The sequence below is a fragment of the Homo sapiens genome, chromosome 6 (assembly GCF_000001405.40).
Source record: "Homo sapiens chromosome 6, GRCh38.p14 Primary Assembly".
Taxonomy (NCBI): Eukaryota; Metazoa; Chordata; class Mammalia; order Primates; family Hominidae; genus Homo; species Homo sapiens.
In genome coordinates, this window is record NC_000006.12 from 39,340,559 (window position 1) to 39,356,143 (window position 15,585).

Sequence of the window (15,585 nt, forward strand, 5' to 3'; positions counted from 1 at the left end):
GTCCACAGGGGATCATAATCTTGGCCCTGCATGCCTTACAGGAGCGTTAAGAGCATCAAATGAAACAATAAAAATGAAAACATTTATAAATGGTAGTTTGCCATACATATTTTAATAAAAGTGCCTGCCCTTCAATCCAGCTCTCTGCACTGCCTGGGGACAGTGTTAGCAGGAGGACACCACTCTGACAGGGACCTGGACTTCCGCCTCTTCTGTTTGGAGAGAGTTAGATGATCACATCTCTTATATGTACAAAAGCTTAGTGAATGTAACTTAAAGATATTGCTTGCTTGTAGGCTTCTTGAGGGGAGGAATGATGGTTGGTTTCTATGGATTTGTTACAGGGGAAGGGATATCTCAGCTCAAAGGATATCCTGCGTATCCAAGCCTTCCTCCACTTGTGCCCCACACACTGTCCCCTCTACTTTCTCAAGGAAGTTTTTCCTGCAGCTCTGCTCCCCTCTCCCACCACAGCATCAGTTTCCCTCTCTATGCATGTTTCAGCACGTGAGCATGTCTTAAAGCATCCCTCTGGGCTCCTGCTTCCCTTTAGCTCCAGCCCAGTTCTCTGCTCCTGTCACTGCTCAACCCCCTGGAGGGGTTGTATCTGCTCACTGCCTCAGCCTCTTTCCCTTCCACCCTCTCCCCAGCCACTCCCAGTCCCCTGGCTAAATGGTGCTTGTCCATGATCACCCTGACATGCAAAATGGCCAGTGGTCCACATTCCATCCTGCCACACTCTACTGGCCCGTCTCCCCTTGGAGCTTGTGCTTCTCCAGCTTGTGCTTCTCCAGCTTGTGCCTGAGGCCATACCCACTTATCTGCTGTTCCTTTTCGCACCCTGGCAGTGCCTTCTCAGCATCTCTGCTTCCTCTCTCTCCGCAACTGTTGGAGAACCCCAGGGGGCTGTTCTCAGCAATTTGAATACCTCCATCTCTGGTCTTCAGAGGACATTGTACTCAGTCCTGTGGCTTCAGACACCAACCAGACATGATGACTTGCATATTTCTTTTTCTAGCTTAGACTTTCTCTCTGAGCTCCACTGATGCTCACCTGTCTACTCGACACCTCCTCTTGGACATCAAATGTCATCTGAAACTTCAAAAAGGGCAGCCAGAACTCTCCATCCCTCCAGCTCCTTGCCTCTGATGGTCATGCCTCCCTGCCTTTCTCATTTCAGTAAATGGCACTGCCATTCTCTTCGCTGCTCAGATCAAAAGCCCAGGAGGTGCCCTGACTCTCCTCTTTCTCTTGCATCTCATATTTGGTCTACTGGTGAGTCCAAGCCACAATCATCCCTTGCTGGCACTTTCATGGTAGCCTGGTAACTGGTCTACCCTTGGCCCCTACAATCTACACTACATGTGACAGACAAAGTGAGCTTTTTAAAGCATCAATCACATCATATCACTCCATGGTTAAAATTATTCAGTGGGCTTCCACTCTATCCAGAATAAAATCCAAATCTCTTTCCCCTGTGCATAAGGCTGGTGTGACTTGGCCCTTGTGCTCTTGCTCCCTGCCCTCCAGCCACTCTAGCTTCCTTCCCACCCTGTGGCCAAGCAAAGCTTCCCCTTCAGGCTTCTCGCTTTCCGCTCTGTCTGCTAGGACTGTGCATTCCCAGAACGCGGCGTAGCTGCTCCATTCTCATGATGCAGCTGTCAGTTTAAAGTTATCTTCTCCAGCAAGGCCTCCCCAACCTACCCAGCTAAAAGCAGTCTTCCCAGTTACTGTCTACAACATTACATAGTTTAGCTATTTCATAGCACTTATTATCCCCTCAAACAATCTTACGTATTTGTCGACGTGTTCATTGTCTGTCTCCTTCCTCCCCCTAGAATGTCAGTTTCTCACGTGCTGGGTTCTGTCTTGTTCTCTGCTGTAGCACCAGCACTAGTAGTAGTGCCTGGCATAAGAAGGCACCCAACATATACAGTGTTTGCTGACTGATTGGCTGTTCATTGCTGTTCAGTGCCTGATACCTATCATCAGAGTATTTGGGGCATAGATGGGGACTTGGAGATCACTGAATCCAGTTTTTTATTTTTTTTTATTTTTTTTTATTTTTTTTTATTTTTAGACAAGGAAACTGAGAATGAGACAAGATCACAGCAGAGGTGGGGCTGTCTCAGGCTTAAGAAAGGACCTGACAGTGTTGCTGAGGCTGCTGGTCCTGGTGGTGAAGAGAGGATAGTAAATAAGCAGGCTGGCGGCCAAGCAAGGCGAGTACAGGACCAAGGCCGGCTCTCAGTTGCGGCGCTCCATCCATGCACAAACCTCTTCCTGCCCAAACTGCACACGGCTGGTGGAGAAGCTGAGTGCAGGCGCCACAGGGCAGGCATCAGTCATTATACATCGAATCTGCCAGCCCATACCATCACGGTGGGGGCGCCTTTCTGGCAATGTGAAGGCAATGTTAAGCCTGCCTAGTAGCCTTTGGGTTATGGGGAGGAGGCTAAGACAAAATGCAGGCCTGGGGTAAGGGGCCCTGGGGCTTGCCCTGTGGGTGTGTTGGGGATGGAAGGCAGAAAGAGAAAAGGCCCAGCCACAGCAGATGGGAGATGGGCAGCTGCCAAGAGGACGGGGCTGGGGGTGGAGGGGGCAGTGATGCAGACCAAGAAGAGCCTTCTTCTCTTCCTGTTGTCTGACACGCCACTCTTACTTCCTCTGTGATTGTTATGGTGTCCTCGGGCCTGGGCCTTCAAGCAGTGTTTACACTCACAGCTCTTTGGCAAGAACCACACTCTGATAGGGGAGTGAGACTTTAAGCCAGGGGTTCAACGAGTTACCAAAACATCACTCAGCCCCTTCCTGTTTGTAGAAGCCTGAGCAGAGGAGACAGCTGACTTTGGGAACAGAGAACAAAGGAGCTGAAGATCTGGAAGAGACAGAGAGCAAGCTCTGCCAAGAGGGACAGGAGCACCTGGGCCGCCCACCCACTTGGGCCTGTCTTGGTGTTTCTGATGCTGCCCCTTGAGGCTTTCTCGAGAAGGAATCAGAGGCTGGGCACATGTGACTGACAGGCAGGCCAGTCCTGTGGCTTCAGGAATATGCAGGAAACTCCCTACTCCCCTCCCACCTCACTGTGTGCTCCCCACAAGTGTTGGTGACCTGCTGCCCAGGAGGAGCCACCGAGGGAGGTGCACTTACATTGCTTCTGCAGAATGCTCTGTCTGGCCTTGATGAAGGCGATGATGTCCGAGTCCGTCTGGCTGTCTCCGGTGAGAGGGATGGACGACACTGGCCTCTTGGGGATGCTGGAGGCAACCACGTGTCACATTTTACTACACTTTACAACTGGACTCACCACTTATATTTCCAAAATGCTTTTCCATTTTAGGTGACTGATCTCACTCAGAAAGCTACATGACACGGCTGGCCTGCTTCTCACTCCCTCCTACCTTCTCTGTGTGGCAGCCACACTAAGCCTCTTGTCATGCAAATTGGGTCAAGTCATTCCCTGCCATAGACCCTGATATGGTTTGGCTGTGTCCTCACCCAAATCTCATCTTGAACTGTAGCTCCCATAATTTCCACGTGTTGTGGGAGGGACCAGGTGGGAGATAACTGAATCATGGGGACGGTTTCCTCCATACTGTTCTCGTGGTAGTGAATAAGTCTCATGAGATCTGATGTTTTCATACGAGGTTTCCCCTCTCACTTGGCTTTCATTCTGTCTTGGCTGCCACCATGTAAGACGTGCCTTTCACCATGATTGTGAGGCCTCCCCAGTGACATGAACTGTGAGTCCATTAAATCTCTTTTTCTTTATAAATTACCCAGTCTCAGGTATGTCTTTATCAGAAGTGTGAAAACAGACTAATACAGACCCTTTAGTGGCTTTTCACCACTCATGGAATAAAACTTAAACTCTGTCCCATGACCTACCAGGCTGTGTATGATATGACCCCGGGTCAGGGGCTCCAGCTGCCCCCTTTTCTTTCAGTGACTTGCATTTACCAAGCCACTTCCAGCCTCAGGGCCTTTGCTCTGATGCTTCCTCTCCCTGGACTGCCCTCCCCACCACCCGTCACATGGCGGCTGTGCTTTCTCTCGCTGCCTTCTCTATCCTCTTACCACCACCACTCTTGTCCTCCCATCCCTGATTTACCCAAACCAGCACCCCTTAACCTGGGGCCCATCAACTTCTGTGCCCAGCTTAGATGTCATATCATTCAGTGCTGTGTCCTCAGAGCACCCTCATTCCCCACGTGGCTTAGCTAGTTGACCTCAAGGCAGAGATTACTGTTCTCCTGTCTCTCCTTAAAAACAGAATCATATTTAGCTAAGTTGCCACAACTAAAAAAACTACCTTTCCCAGACTCCTTTGCTGCGATGTGTGGCCGGGTGACCAGGTGCTGGCCAATGAGATTTGTAAGTAGAAGTGTTGTGTGGGAATCTCCTTAGAAAGGGAGGGCTGTGTGTGCCCTCCCCCATCCCCTTTTCCATCCAGCTTCTCCATATAGCATTCCCCTTCAGCAAACTCAGAGCAGTACACTTGCCTGGCCTTGCCAACTTTCCGTCCATCCTCACCCCTGTGCCTCTGCACAGCAGGAGGTGGTAGCCACTTCCTTAGAAGGCAGTAAGGACGGTATGTAACAAGGGGCTGGCCATTCCCGCAGGTAGTTTGGGTGTTGGCTTTCCCGCTGCAGGCCAGCCGGAAGCACTAAAGCAGAGTCCAGGCAGGCAGGGCAGAGGCTGTGCTGGTGAAAGAGGCTGAGCAGCCATTCTAGCCGGAGGATACAAATGCCCATGGTGCTGATCAACTCTGGTAAGCCTGGAAGCAAATGCTGCTGGGTCTTCAGGCCAGGCTTGTCAGCTCCCTGCTCTGCTCTGTGGTGGGGCTGCCCTGGGCTGGCTCTTTCCCTTTCTGGCCCCCAGGTACGTCTATTCACAAGAAGATATGAAACAACTCTGCCCAACACAGGGCCCTGGTGACTGTGGGAGAAAACCTCCCCGCTTTGAGTTGGCCTGTGTGAGAGATTCCAGGGAATTCCCAGGGGACCAGGGCAGAGGCCAGACCTGGGTTCTGTCTGTGTGGCTACTGGACGAGGGGCTTTTTCGGGGAGTAGACTGGAGATGGAGGCCCACTCCGCCCACTGCAGGGGCTGTCACAGGCATAACAGGAGAAGACCACAGACCTGTCTTCCAGTGGGGTGCTGGTGCTGCTCTGTTTCTGGCTGTGTGGACTGGGGCAAGGCGAGGGCAGGATTTTCCTGGCATTCACATCACTGCAAAACACAAACAAACAAAAGCAAAAGGAATGGGGGCAAATTTATAGAAGGAAATTCAGGGTTTATATCTAGGAGCTGTTATGGACTGAATGTGTCCTCTCAAAATCCCTATGTGGACACCCTAATTCCCAGTGTGATGGCATTGGGCAGTGGGGCCTTTGGGAGGTGAATAGATTTAGATGAGGTCCTGAGGGTAGGGCCCCTGCACTGGGATTAGTGTCCTTATAGGTATAAGAGGAGGATGAGAAACTACAGTGCTCTCTCTCTCTCTCTCTCTCTCTCTCTCTCTCTCTCCCCCCCCTCTCCCTCCCCCCCTCCCTCTCCCTCTCCCTCCCTCTCCCTCTCTCTCTCTCTCTCTCTCTCTCTCTCTTTCTCTCCTATGTGAGCACACAATAAGAAGGAGGTGCCAGCAAGCGAGGAAGGAAGCCCTCAGCAGGAACTAAATCTGCTGTGCTACGGACTGGAGGTTTGTGTCCCTGAAAAGTCATGTGTTGAACCTAATCTCCAATGTAATGGTAGTAGAGGTGGGGCCTTTGGGTGGTGATTAAGTCATGAAGGTAGAACTCTCATGAATGGGATTAGAGTCCTTATAAAAGAGACATTGGAGAGCTCCCTTGCCCCTTCCACCATGTGAGGATGCGTCGAGAAGACAGCTGTCTATGAACCGGGAAGGGGGTCCTCACCAGACATCGAATCTGCCAGTGCCTTGATCTTGGACTTCCCAGCCTCCAGAACTGTGAAAAATAAACGTTTGTTGTTTGAGCCACTCAGTCTATAGTATTTTGTTATAGCAGCCTGAGCAGACTAAGACAAGAGCCAAGAGTCCTGTCTTGGATGGTTTACACAGTAATTTTCTTTTTTTCTTTTTTTTTGAGATGGAGTTTCACTCTTGTTGCCCAAGCTGGAGTGCAGTGGCATGATCTTGGCTCACTGCAACCTCCGCTTCCTGGGTTTGAGCAATCCTTCTGCCTCAGCCATCCAAGTAGCTGGGATTACAAGCATGCATCACAACACCTGGCTAATTTTTTGTATTTTTAGTAGAGATGGGGTTTCACCATATTGGCCAGGCTGGTCTTGAACTCCTGACCTCAGGTGATCCACCCACCTTGGCCTCCCAAAGTGCTGGGATTACAGGCGTGAGCCACTGTGCCCGGCCTACACAGTAATTTTCATTGTTAGAGCATGCATCTGTTGGCTGTAGCAGCTGAACAACAAACGATGGCCACAACTGTCATTGATAGACACGCCAGGCTTCGTGAAAGTGCTCTGCAAATATCATGCCATTTAATCCTCTCAATGACCTAAGAGGTAGATGTCATCGTCTCCATTTTATACATGAGAAAACTGAGGCTTAGACAGATTAAAGAAATTCTAAAGTTATCCAGCTGGTAAGTGGCAGAATCGGGAACTACTCAGGATTCTTTGAGGCTTCAGAACCTGTGCTCTCAGCCACAATGCCTTCTAACTGGGCTTGACTCTGTGGCATTCTAGGAACACACGCTGGCCTACCCCTGACCACACTGCCTGCCCCTGGGACCTAGCTTCATGCTGAGAGAGGAGTCAGATCCAACAGCTCATTAGATGCAGCTGTGCCTGCTCACCTAGGCTGCTGACATGTGCGCCTTGCCTTGGATTCCTGGCCAAGTGCAGTGGAACCCAGAAGCTCCTCTTGGGAGGTGAAGAGGCGCGTGGACACGGCTGGTTGGAGGCCAGTGTATTCCACATGCCTGTGGTTACAAGGTCCTTACTCTAAGTTGTGCTGTAAGGAGATCTTCCTCGCTTCCTGCCTGGAGACAACCTCAGAGCTGGAAGAGGCCTAAGAAGTCACCTGGGTACAACCCTCCTTTTACACTCTGGGGACACTTGGGCTGAGAGGCAGGCTAGGGTTAGAGACAGGTGAGCCGGCTCCGCGGAGTCTGCATCTTCAGTCCAAGGTACTCTACAGACCTGACAAACTGCGTGTCTCACTCATGAGTATGGCCCCTTCCCCGGCTCTGGCCTTCCGCCTTCCGATCTCAGCCAATGGCAAGGCTGCTTCCATAGGTCACGACTGTGGTCAAACAAGCAAGAAAAGACACCAGAGCCTGGGGAAGCCCCCCCTCACCCACCAATGTCCATTTCCTAGCAGTGGAGAGACTTTCCACGAGGTGCCCTTCATGGTGGGAAAGCAGAGATCCCTGTGCTGGGTCTAGTGAGGACCGATGTAGGACCAGAGGTAGCCACCAGGTGGCAGGCTCTGCACGCTTTTCTTCAGAGAACAGTAACCAATTCTCAAGGCTCCTGCTGAGTGGTTCCTGGTGCAGCCTGGAGAAGGGAAGGAGAAAGGGCTTTCCATCCTGCAAGTGCTTTCATGACAACGGGTCAAGGTCAGTTTGGAAGCTGTAGCAAATTTGCAAGACCAAGGCACTGGCACAAAAATGGCTCATTCACTCAGTGGCTTCCCAGTGGAGCCTTGGCTCAGGTTCCAGGGAGAGTTCACAGGTGCCAAACTATTGAAAGGTGGGAGGGGGTGGAAGAGGATGGAGAGATGGATGGGGCAGGGTAGAAGGGCACGATCACACCGTGGCCAATAGGGGCATCTAGTACTCTTTGCGGAGGCCCAGCTGCCCCACCTCATGCAGGAGGGCAGTGCAATGGAAGGCTGGGGGCTCTCGAGGGAAATGACTCCTCAAACCTGTAAGCTGCTCAAGCATCCTGTTCCTGGATGCCACAGCTTGGTTTCTGTAATTCTGGGGATGATGCCATAAATGACCTCTGCCCTCTCCCTTTGCCCAACCAGCCTTTGACACCGAATTAATTTCTCATGTTGACGCCCCTCTGGAGAGAGAACATACCAGCCATCAGAATGAAGTATCTTCCTTAATAAGGATTAATAAGCCATATTAATAGTAATTAGGCCTTCTGGGTTGCCAATCAGAGTGTTTAGTGGGATCAGCTTCCAGGACCTGAGCATCCCTGGGGAAGTGATGAATCAGGTTTCTTTCAGAACCTGATGAGCAGAAGACCAGCGCCCCGCTACCCCCAGTTCCCCACCTGCGGCAATTCTCAGGAGCAGCCGCTCTGGAGCTCGGGCAGCAACAGCCGCTGGGCCCTCGCTCTCTCACCCTGGCGGCTCTGACCGGGCACTGACCGGGCAACATTTATCTGCTCACAGAGTGACCGTGTCGGAGGGACCTTTGCACATCTTACAGATGAGGCAAGGGAATCCCAAAGTGGGGAGCTGGCTTGCCCGAGGGTGTGCTGTCGGAGGGGCCATGACTGGGATTCATGTGATTCAAATCTCAATAAAGGGGACTTGTTGGAGGTGGTCAATAATGACGTGACACACACCTTTGAAGTCCAGGGTTCTCGACTGCAGGGTTAAAGGTCTCTAGGCAAGCACATCCAGGAATCATCTTAAGTTGGAATACCTAAGGAATCTCCAGGAATGCCCAAGGCCAAGACAAGGTGGAAGGAGCACTATTCTGATGGGTGGCACAGCAGACAGTCCCTGGAGGCCTTGCCCAGGGGCTACTCCTTAGACCTATTCCACCATGGACTCTCTCGGAGATGCCGGCGGATAAAGGCTGGCAGCGGCATGATCAACAAACAAGCAGTAAAGAGGCAGCCCTGGCTGCAAGGGAGTATGACAAAGGGAATGAGGCAGAGAGGAGGAAGAAAAGGAGAAGGGGGATGTAAGGCAGGAATAGAGATAGGCAGAGCTGACAGTGGAGGGAGGGATGGGAGAAGAGGCGAGTGGAGGAGGGAAGGAGGCAGGCAGAGGGCAGGGGGAGCAGTGGGTGGAAGGAAGAAAAGGCACTTGCCATGGAGTGTGAAGGTCTAGGTTTAATTTGTGGCTCTTTTTTTTTTTTTTTTTTTTTTTTTTTTTTGAGACAGGGTCTTGCTCTGTCTCCAGGCTAGAGTGCTGTGGTGTGATCTCAGCTCACTGCAACCTCTACCTCCTGGGTTCAAGCGATTCTTCTGCCTCCGCCTCCTGAGTAGCTGGGACTACAGGCACGCACCACCATGGCTGGCTAATTATTTTTGTCTTTTTAGTAGAGATGAGGGTTCACCATATTGGCCAAGGCTGGTCTTGAACTCCTGACCTCGTGATCCACCCACCTTGGCCTCCCAAAGTGCTGGGATTACAGGTGTGAGCCATCATCCCTGGCCTAATTTGTGGCTCTTTGTGTTATTAACTACAGAGTTAAAGCATCTCATTCCCTTTCGGGGCCTCAGTGTCCTCATTTACAGAATGGGGAGGCTGAACTCTGGGTTTCTCAGCTGAAATGGCAAGGGCCAGTCACAGGGAATTCTGGGTTTCCACACCTTAGAAGGTTGGCCTTTTAAGGAAACACAGCTTTACCCTTTAAAAATCCTGGCCTCTTGGGAAAATCAGACGGTGTGGACACATTGGAAGAGCGGATACCCCAGGCAGGAGGATCTGGTGGTGGGAAGCACATAAAGAAAGCGCCTTGTACAAAATATTACAAAATGTGGGCTGGTAAATGCCAACACCTACTAGATAACATTATGGACATGTGTCCCTAAAAGGCAGTCATTGATCCTAAACACAACTGCTGTGAGGAATGAGGGGAGTGCACGACTCCGACAGGCCTGGGTTTGAGTTCACCACTGATTAGCTGGTGACCCTGGGCAAGCTACTTCATCTCTCTGAGCCTGAATTTTTTCACCTGTAAAGTGGGGGACCATGATAGTAGGCACAGTGCTCATGTATTTTGCACCTGGCCCAGGAGGGCCCTCTACAAAGGCTACGAGATATTATTGCCGTCAGAGGAGAAGGCCAGTGCTGTCTCCCTTGGGAACGTGGGAATGCCAACAGCGAATCCTTCACGTGAGATGTTCACAGGGAATGTCTGAGACGCCATGATGGCCTGAGACAGGGTTCCCTACCTGGCTTACCGTGGCAGAGTTCTGTAGGCCCGTTACTACCAGCATCTAAAGCAAGTGGCAAGGATTTCTTTGTCAGAGGTGGAGCCCCTAGAGCTCTTCCTTTCCAGTCTCTGGCGGGGTTACTTTTCCTCTCACCTGCCTAGTGTGACCGTCCCATCCAGGAATGCTGGCACTCCAACAACTGTTGGAGGAGGAAATATGGGGCAGCCAGCCACTCAAGTTGAGGTGTTTTAACAAACACTGTTCAGGACACTCAGTGATCTCTGCCCAGGAATTAGAGCATCCAACCAGCTCGCCGGCAGCAACCACAGGGGACAGGGCTGAACAGCGCTCTAGGGCTGGCTGAGAGCCATCTTCCCCAAGACCCTTCTGCCAGCAGTCACCGAAGGGGCTTGGGGTGGGGGTGGGGACTCTGGGAGCAGGATTTTTGGAAAAGCTCCTGTGGGTGATCTGATGCACACCTTTCAAATTCAAGGTTCTGAACACTAGGATTAAACTTTTTTTTTTTTTTTTTTTTGCAAGCACAGTGTATTTCTTTTCTTTCTTTTTTTTTTCTCTTTTTCAGACAGGGTCTCGCTCTGTCACCCAGACTAGAGTGCAGTGGTGCAGATCTTGGCTCACTACAGCCTTGACCTTCTGGGCTCAAAAGATCCTACCATCTCAGCCTCCTGAGTAGCTGCGACTACAGGCATGTGCCACCACGCCCGGCTATGGATTTGTGGGGAGGTAAGGATATTTTCATATTTTGTTGTAGAGACGGGGTTTCACCTTGTTGCCCAGGCTGGTGTTGAACTCCTGGCTCAAGCGATCCACCGGCTTTAGCCTCCCAAAGTACTGGGATTACAGGCATGAACCACTGTCCCTGGGCAAGCATAGTGTATTTCTACCTTGCATCTGTCGGGCCCCTTGCTGACACACCTGCCCCTCTCTCTCTCTCTCACACACACACACATGCACATGTACACACTTCAATGTCTTTGAAGCCAAAGGAAAAATGAGAGACAGGGCTTTCTACTCGCTGAGCAGGATATTGCTACCAGTAGAAGCTACCCAAGAGATCAGAAAAGAGGGTACAGAAATAGCCAGGGGTTCTGAGCCTCACAGCTGAAAGGAGAGCTTATTCTCATGGGGCAGATACACAAGGGCTCAGCACAGAGCCAGAGCAATGATTGAGGAAGCTGAATCCTCCTCGTTGTGTTTTTCAGATGTGCTGTGTGGAGTCCTGGAGTTTCAGCGAGAGGGCTCCGTGTGTGGAAGGTGCAGGTATACAGGGGTTGGAATTCAAATTTACTGGCCTCTAGAGGTTGGCAGGTGCCCAGGTGAATGCATGGAGTGGGCCAGGTGCAGGGCACAAATGCTAAGCTGCCTGCATTGCCATGGCATAGTGCAGCTGCCTAGTTATTCTGCTTCTGCAGTTTTAAAAATCAATAGACTATTATTTAGAGAAGTTTTAAGTTTACAGAAAATTGAGCAGATAGTACAGAGAATTCCCTTATACTCCTCTTCCCCACCTTTCAGTTTTCCTTATTATTAACATTTTGTATTAGTGTGATAAATTTGTTATAACTGGTGAATGAATATAGATACATTATTATGAACTAAAGTCCATGGTTTATGCAGGGGTTCACTCTTTGTGCTGTACAGCTCTATGGATTTTGACAAATGCATGACATCATCTATGCAACATTACAATATCATACAGAATAGTTTCACTGCCCCCAAAATTCCCTGTGCTCCATCTATTCATCCTTTCCTCCCTACAAGTCCATGACAACCACTGACTATTTCACTGTGTCCATAATTTTGCCTGTTCCAGAATGTTATATAGTTGGAATCATATAATACATAGTCTTTTCATATGAGCATCTTTCACTAAGCAATATGCATTGCAGGTTCATCACTTTTCATGGCCTGATAGCTCTTTTTTTTTTTTTTTGAGATGGAGTCTTGCTCTGTCACCCAGGCTGGAGTGCAGTGGCTTGATCTCGGCTCACTGCAACCTCTGCCTCCTCGGTTCAAGCGATTCTCCTGCCTCAGCCTTCCAAGTAGCTGGGATTACACGTGCATGCCAATATCCTTGGCAAATTTTTGTATTTTTAGTAGAGGTTGGGTTTCACCATGTTGGCCAGGCTGCTCTTGAATTCCTGACCTCAAGTGATCCACCCACCTTGGCCTCCCAAAGTGCTGGGATAACAGGCCTGAGCCACTGCACCCAGACTTGATAGCTGAATAATATTCCACGGTTTGTTTATTCATTCACTTTTTGGAGGACATCTTGGTGGCTTTCAGTTTTGGGCAATTATAAATAATTATACAAAAAGCTACTATGAACAATCATATTCTGTTTTTTTTTGTGGACATAAGTTTTCACCTCAATTAGGTAAATAACTAAAATGCAATTGCTGGATTGTATGGTAAGATCATATTTAGCTTTGCAAGAATCCATCAAACTGTCTTCCAAAGTGGCTGTGGGAGTGCAAAACCATTTTGCATTCCCTCTAGCAATGAACGAGAGTTCCTATTGCTCAACATCCTCACTGGCATTTGGAATTGTCATTTTTTGTTTTATTTTAGCCATTCTAATATGTATGTAGTGGTATCTCATTGTTGTTCTAATTTGTATTTCCCTGTGTGACACAGGATGTTGTGTACCTTGTCATGTACTTATTTGCCATCTGTATCTCTTCTTTGGTGAAGTGGCTGTTCAGATCTTTTGCCCACTTTTAAACTGAGTGGTTTATTTTCTTATTGTTGAATTTTTAGAGCTCTTTGTATACTTCAGATACAAGTCCTTTATCAGATATATGTTTTGCAAATATTTTCTCCCAGTCTGTAGCTTGTCTTTTAATTCTTTTAAAAATATCTTTTGCAGAGTGGTGTTTTAATTTTAAATAAAGTCCAACATCAATTTTTTCTTTCATGAATCTGCATTGTCTTCCAAAACACCAGGCTAGCCAAACAAAACACATCATGTCAGTTATTGACCCTGGGCTCAGGGGCTCACATAGGAGATGTGTCCTAAAACCAGAATGTGAGGCAGTGAGAGGGCACTGGGTCTGGGATGGCGGTGCTGTAGCCCTGGGCAGATGGACCCAGTGGCTCCTTCCCTAGTGCGGTGTCCGGCATGCAGCAGATGCTGGAGAGATGGACTTCAGGATGGCACTATGCCAGCCACAATGGGCACTATGCTGTGTGCCAGTTCCTACTGCTAAGTGGAGCTAAGTGTGATGCCCAGACCCATGGGGGTGCCACTGCTCTGCAGCAGGACTGCTACTGAGGGCACACTGACATTGCATGGCCTCTGTTTTCACATGGGTCCAAGCCCAGATTGATAGATGACGATGGCAATGACCAGCCTACATAAGGCTCCTGAGAACGGTCACGTGGACATTTGCTCCCTCCTGTTGCAACATAGCTTAGCCCTGAAGGCCATCTGGGATGGAAGGCATGGCTAGCATGTGACCTGCTGCCCTGCAACGGTGACCTGCTGGCTAGCTGAGTTGCCACCCTCCTGTCTCAGGCTGCCCTTGCAGGGTACACAGACCAGGTTTTTAAGCCCCCATCTTGTTCAGCATCCATACTGCAGGGCAGGAAACTGAGGCTAGAAGACCCAGGGAGACCCCCAGTCTGGCCACTGTGGAAGCAAGGGAGTAGGTTTGGTGGGGCTGAAAGTGTTTAGGCTTGGACAGATGATCATATCCCAAACTGGCTCACATGGGACATCTATCCATTTGGAAAAAAGAAGTTATGTCCTTACCTCATCCCATATGCAAAGACACAATGCAAGATTAAAGATCTAAATGTAAAAACACACAATGATGTAGGAACTAGAAGAAAATATGGAATAGGTGACAAAAGCTGCTTTCTAGCTGAATGACCTTGGTACAAGTCATTTGACCTACTTCTCCGTTGCCTCATCTGGAAGCTGAGAATGGTTATAATAGGGCCTGGCCTCAAAGTCATGGTGGTCACTAATTGGGTAAGCATTGGGAAAGCCCTTGAGAGAGTGGCCCACAGCAAGCAGCCTAGGACAGGACCCGCTGCCCCACCATGCAATCAGCACTTGCTGCTATACCATGATTTCATTAATTTCAACAGTCTGATAGGTAGAAAAGTGCTACTGCCTTGTTTTAGTTTGCATTGCTAATGACTAGTGAAGTTGAGCACCTGTCTTCCATGAACTGCCTGCCCATGCCCATTTAAAAAATGTTGGCCAGGTGTGGTGCTCACACCTGCAATCCCAGCACTTTGAGAGGCCAAGGTGGGAGGATCACTTGAGCCAAGAAATTCAAGACCAGCCTGGGCAACATGGTGAGACTCTTCCTCTACAAACAATATCTATATTTTTAAATTAGCCATGTATGGTGGCACGTGCCTGTAATCCCAACTACTCAGGAGGCTGAGGCAGGAGGATTGCCTGAGCCCAGGAGGTCGAGGCTGCAGTGAGCCGTGATCACACTGCTGTACTCCAGCATGAGTGAGAGTGAAACCCTGTCTCAAAGAAAAAAAGAATGTTTTTCATTTCATTGATCCATAGGAGTTGTTTATATTCTGCATATTGATCTGTTTTATATATATACACATATATATGTATCTATATACATTAAACATTTTTTTTCTTTAAGTATAAAAACAAAGTCACTCCAAAAAGTTAGAATACAGGCTGAAGTGCTGGCACCAACAGCCAGATTGGAGGATCTGGGAAAGTCCAAGGAAAATCTCAACCTGGTTGGTGTTGAGGGCTCACTGGCTGGCCTTTTAATTTTAAGAAGTCTTTTTTTTTTTTTTTTTTTTTTGAGGCAGAGTCTCGCTCTGTCGCCCAGGCTGGAGTGCAGTGGTGCGATCTCGGCTCACTGCAACCTCCACCTCTTGGGTTCCAGCGATTCTCCTGCCTCAGCCTCCCGAGTGGCTGAGATTACAGGCATGCACCACCACACCTGGTATTTTTGTATTTTTAGTAGAGATGGGGTTTCACCATGTTGGCCAGGCTGGTCTTGAACTCCTGACCTCAGGTGATCCGCCCGTCTCAGCCTCCCAAAATGCTGGGATTACAAGCATGAGCCACCACGCCTGGACAATAGTTGTTTTTTAAGAATACTTTTTTTTTTTTTTTAAAGAATAGTTTTACATTTACAGAAAAGTTGGAAAGATAGTGCATGGAGATCCCATGTAGCCTGTACCCAGCTTCCCCTATCGGGCAGTTTTACCTTAGTGTGGTTCATTTGCCACAATCACTGAACCGATATTGATACATTGTTATTAACTAAAGGCCATACTTTACTGGACTTTTCTTAGTTTTTCCCTAAAGCCTTTTTCTGTTCCAGGCTCCCACCCAGGACGCCACTTTACATCTCGGTGGTGTGTCTCCCTAGGCTCCTCTTGGCTGTGACCGAGTCTCACACTTGGTTTTTGGGGACCTTGACAATTTGAGGCATGCTAGTCAGTATTTTGTAGAGTG

The 15,585-nt window shown here is 49.2% G+C and overlaps 1 protein-coding gene, 2 long non-coding RNA genes and 1 pseudogene across 12 annotated transcripts in view, besides 4 other annotated features; 3 read left to right on the plus strand and 1 right to left on the minus strand.

The window, feature by feature from the left end:
• Positions 1-2,143, plus strand: part of LOC105375047 (uncharacterized) — a 28,746-nt gene extending 26,603 nt beyond the window's left edge. The window contains exon 3 of the long non-coding RNA XR_926774.3: positions 2,081-2,143. This is a non-coding gene — a long non-coding RNA (uncharacterized LOC105375047). The remainder of the gene's footprint in view (positions 1-2,080) is intronic.
• Positions 1-15,585, minus strand: part of KIF6 (kinesin family member 6) — a 395,419-nt gene that overhangs the window by 10,569 nt on the left and 369,265 nt on the right. For 4 of the 10 annotated variants that reach the window (NM_001289020.3, NM_145027.6, NM_001289021.3 and 1 more), the window contains 3 exons: positions 5,918-5,968; positions 5,142-5,231; positions 3,151-3,257 (listed from right to left, as the gene is read on the minus strand). In NM_001289020.3, coding sequence (NP_001275949.1) covers positions 3,151-3,257; positions 5,142-5,231; positions 5,918-5,968 — 248 coding nt within the window. Of the gene's footprint in view, positions 1-2,031; positions 2,879-3,150; positions 3,258-5,141; positions 5,232-5,917; positions 5,969-15,585 lie in introns of those variants that run through there. The other 6 variants (XM_011514358.4, XM_047418331.1, XM_005248904.5 and 3 more) reach the window with 4 other exon arrangements.
• Positions 2,737-2,786: an enhancer, noted in NCBI's record as "active region_24492". NCBI's record gives its function as "activates an Ori minimal core promoter by ATAC-STARR-seq in GM12878 lymphoblastoid cells {active_cell/tissue: GM12878}" and the evidence as "EXISTENCE:reporter gene assay evidence [ECO:0000049][PMID:35858748]".
• Positions 2,769-3,606: an enhancer, noted in NCBI's record as "H3K4me1 hESC enhancer chr6:39311103-39311940 (GRCh37/hg19 assembly coordinates)". NCBI's record gives its function as "activates a minimal SCP1, AML or CMV promoter by ChIP-STARR-seq in naive H9 embryonic stem cells {active_cell/tissue: H9 hESC(naive)}" and the evidence as "EXISTENCE:reporter gene assay evidence [ECO:0000049][PMID:30033119]".
• Positions 4,281-4,782: an enhancer, noted in NCBI's record as "H3K4me1 hESC enhancer chr6:39312615-39313116 (GRCh37/hg19 assembly coordinates)". NCBI's record gives its function as "activates a minimal SCP1, AML or CMV promoter by ChIP-STARR-seq in naive H9 embryonic stem cells {active_cell/tissue: H9 hESC(naive)}" and the evidence as "EXISTENCE:reporter gene assay evidence [ECO:0000049][PMID:30033119]".
• LOC107986594 (uncharacterized) overlaps positions 10,693-15,585 on the plus strand; it is a 38,190-nt gene continuing 33,297 nt past the window's right edge. Inside the window, exons 1-2 of the long non-coding RNA XR_001744111.2 lie at positions 10,693-10,853; positions 11,333-11,390. This is a non-coding gene — a long non-coding RNA (uncharacterized LOC107986594). The remainder of the gene's footprint in view (positions 10,854-11,332; positions 11,391-15,585) is intronic.
• ANKRD39P1 (ANKRD39 pseudogene 1) lies at positions 13,287-13,940 on the plus strand (annotated as a pseudogene).
• Positions 13,447-13,946: an enhancer, noted in NCBI's record as "H3K4me1 hESC enhancer chr6:39321781-39322280 (GRCh37/hg19 assembly coordinates)". NCBI's record gives its function as "activates a minimal SCP1, AML or CMV promoter by ChIP-STARR-seq in naive H9 embryonic stem cells {active_cell/tissue: H9 hESC(naive)}" and the evidence as "EXISTENCE:reporter gene assay evidence [ECO:0000049][PMID:30033119]".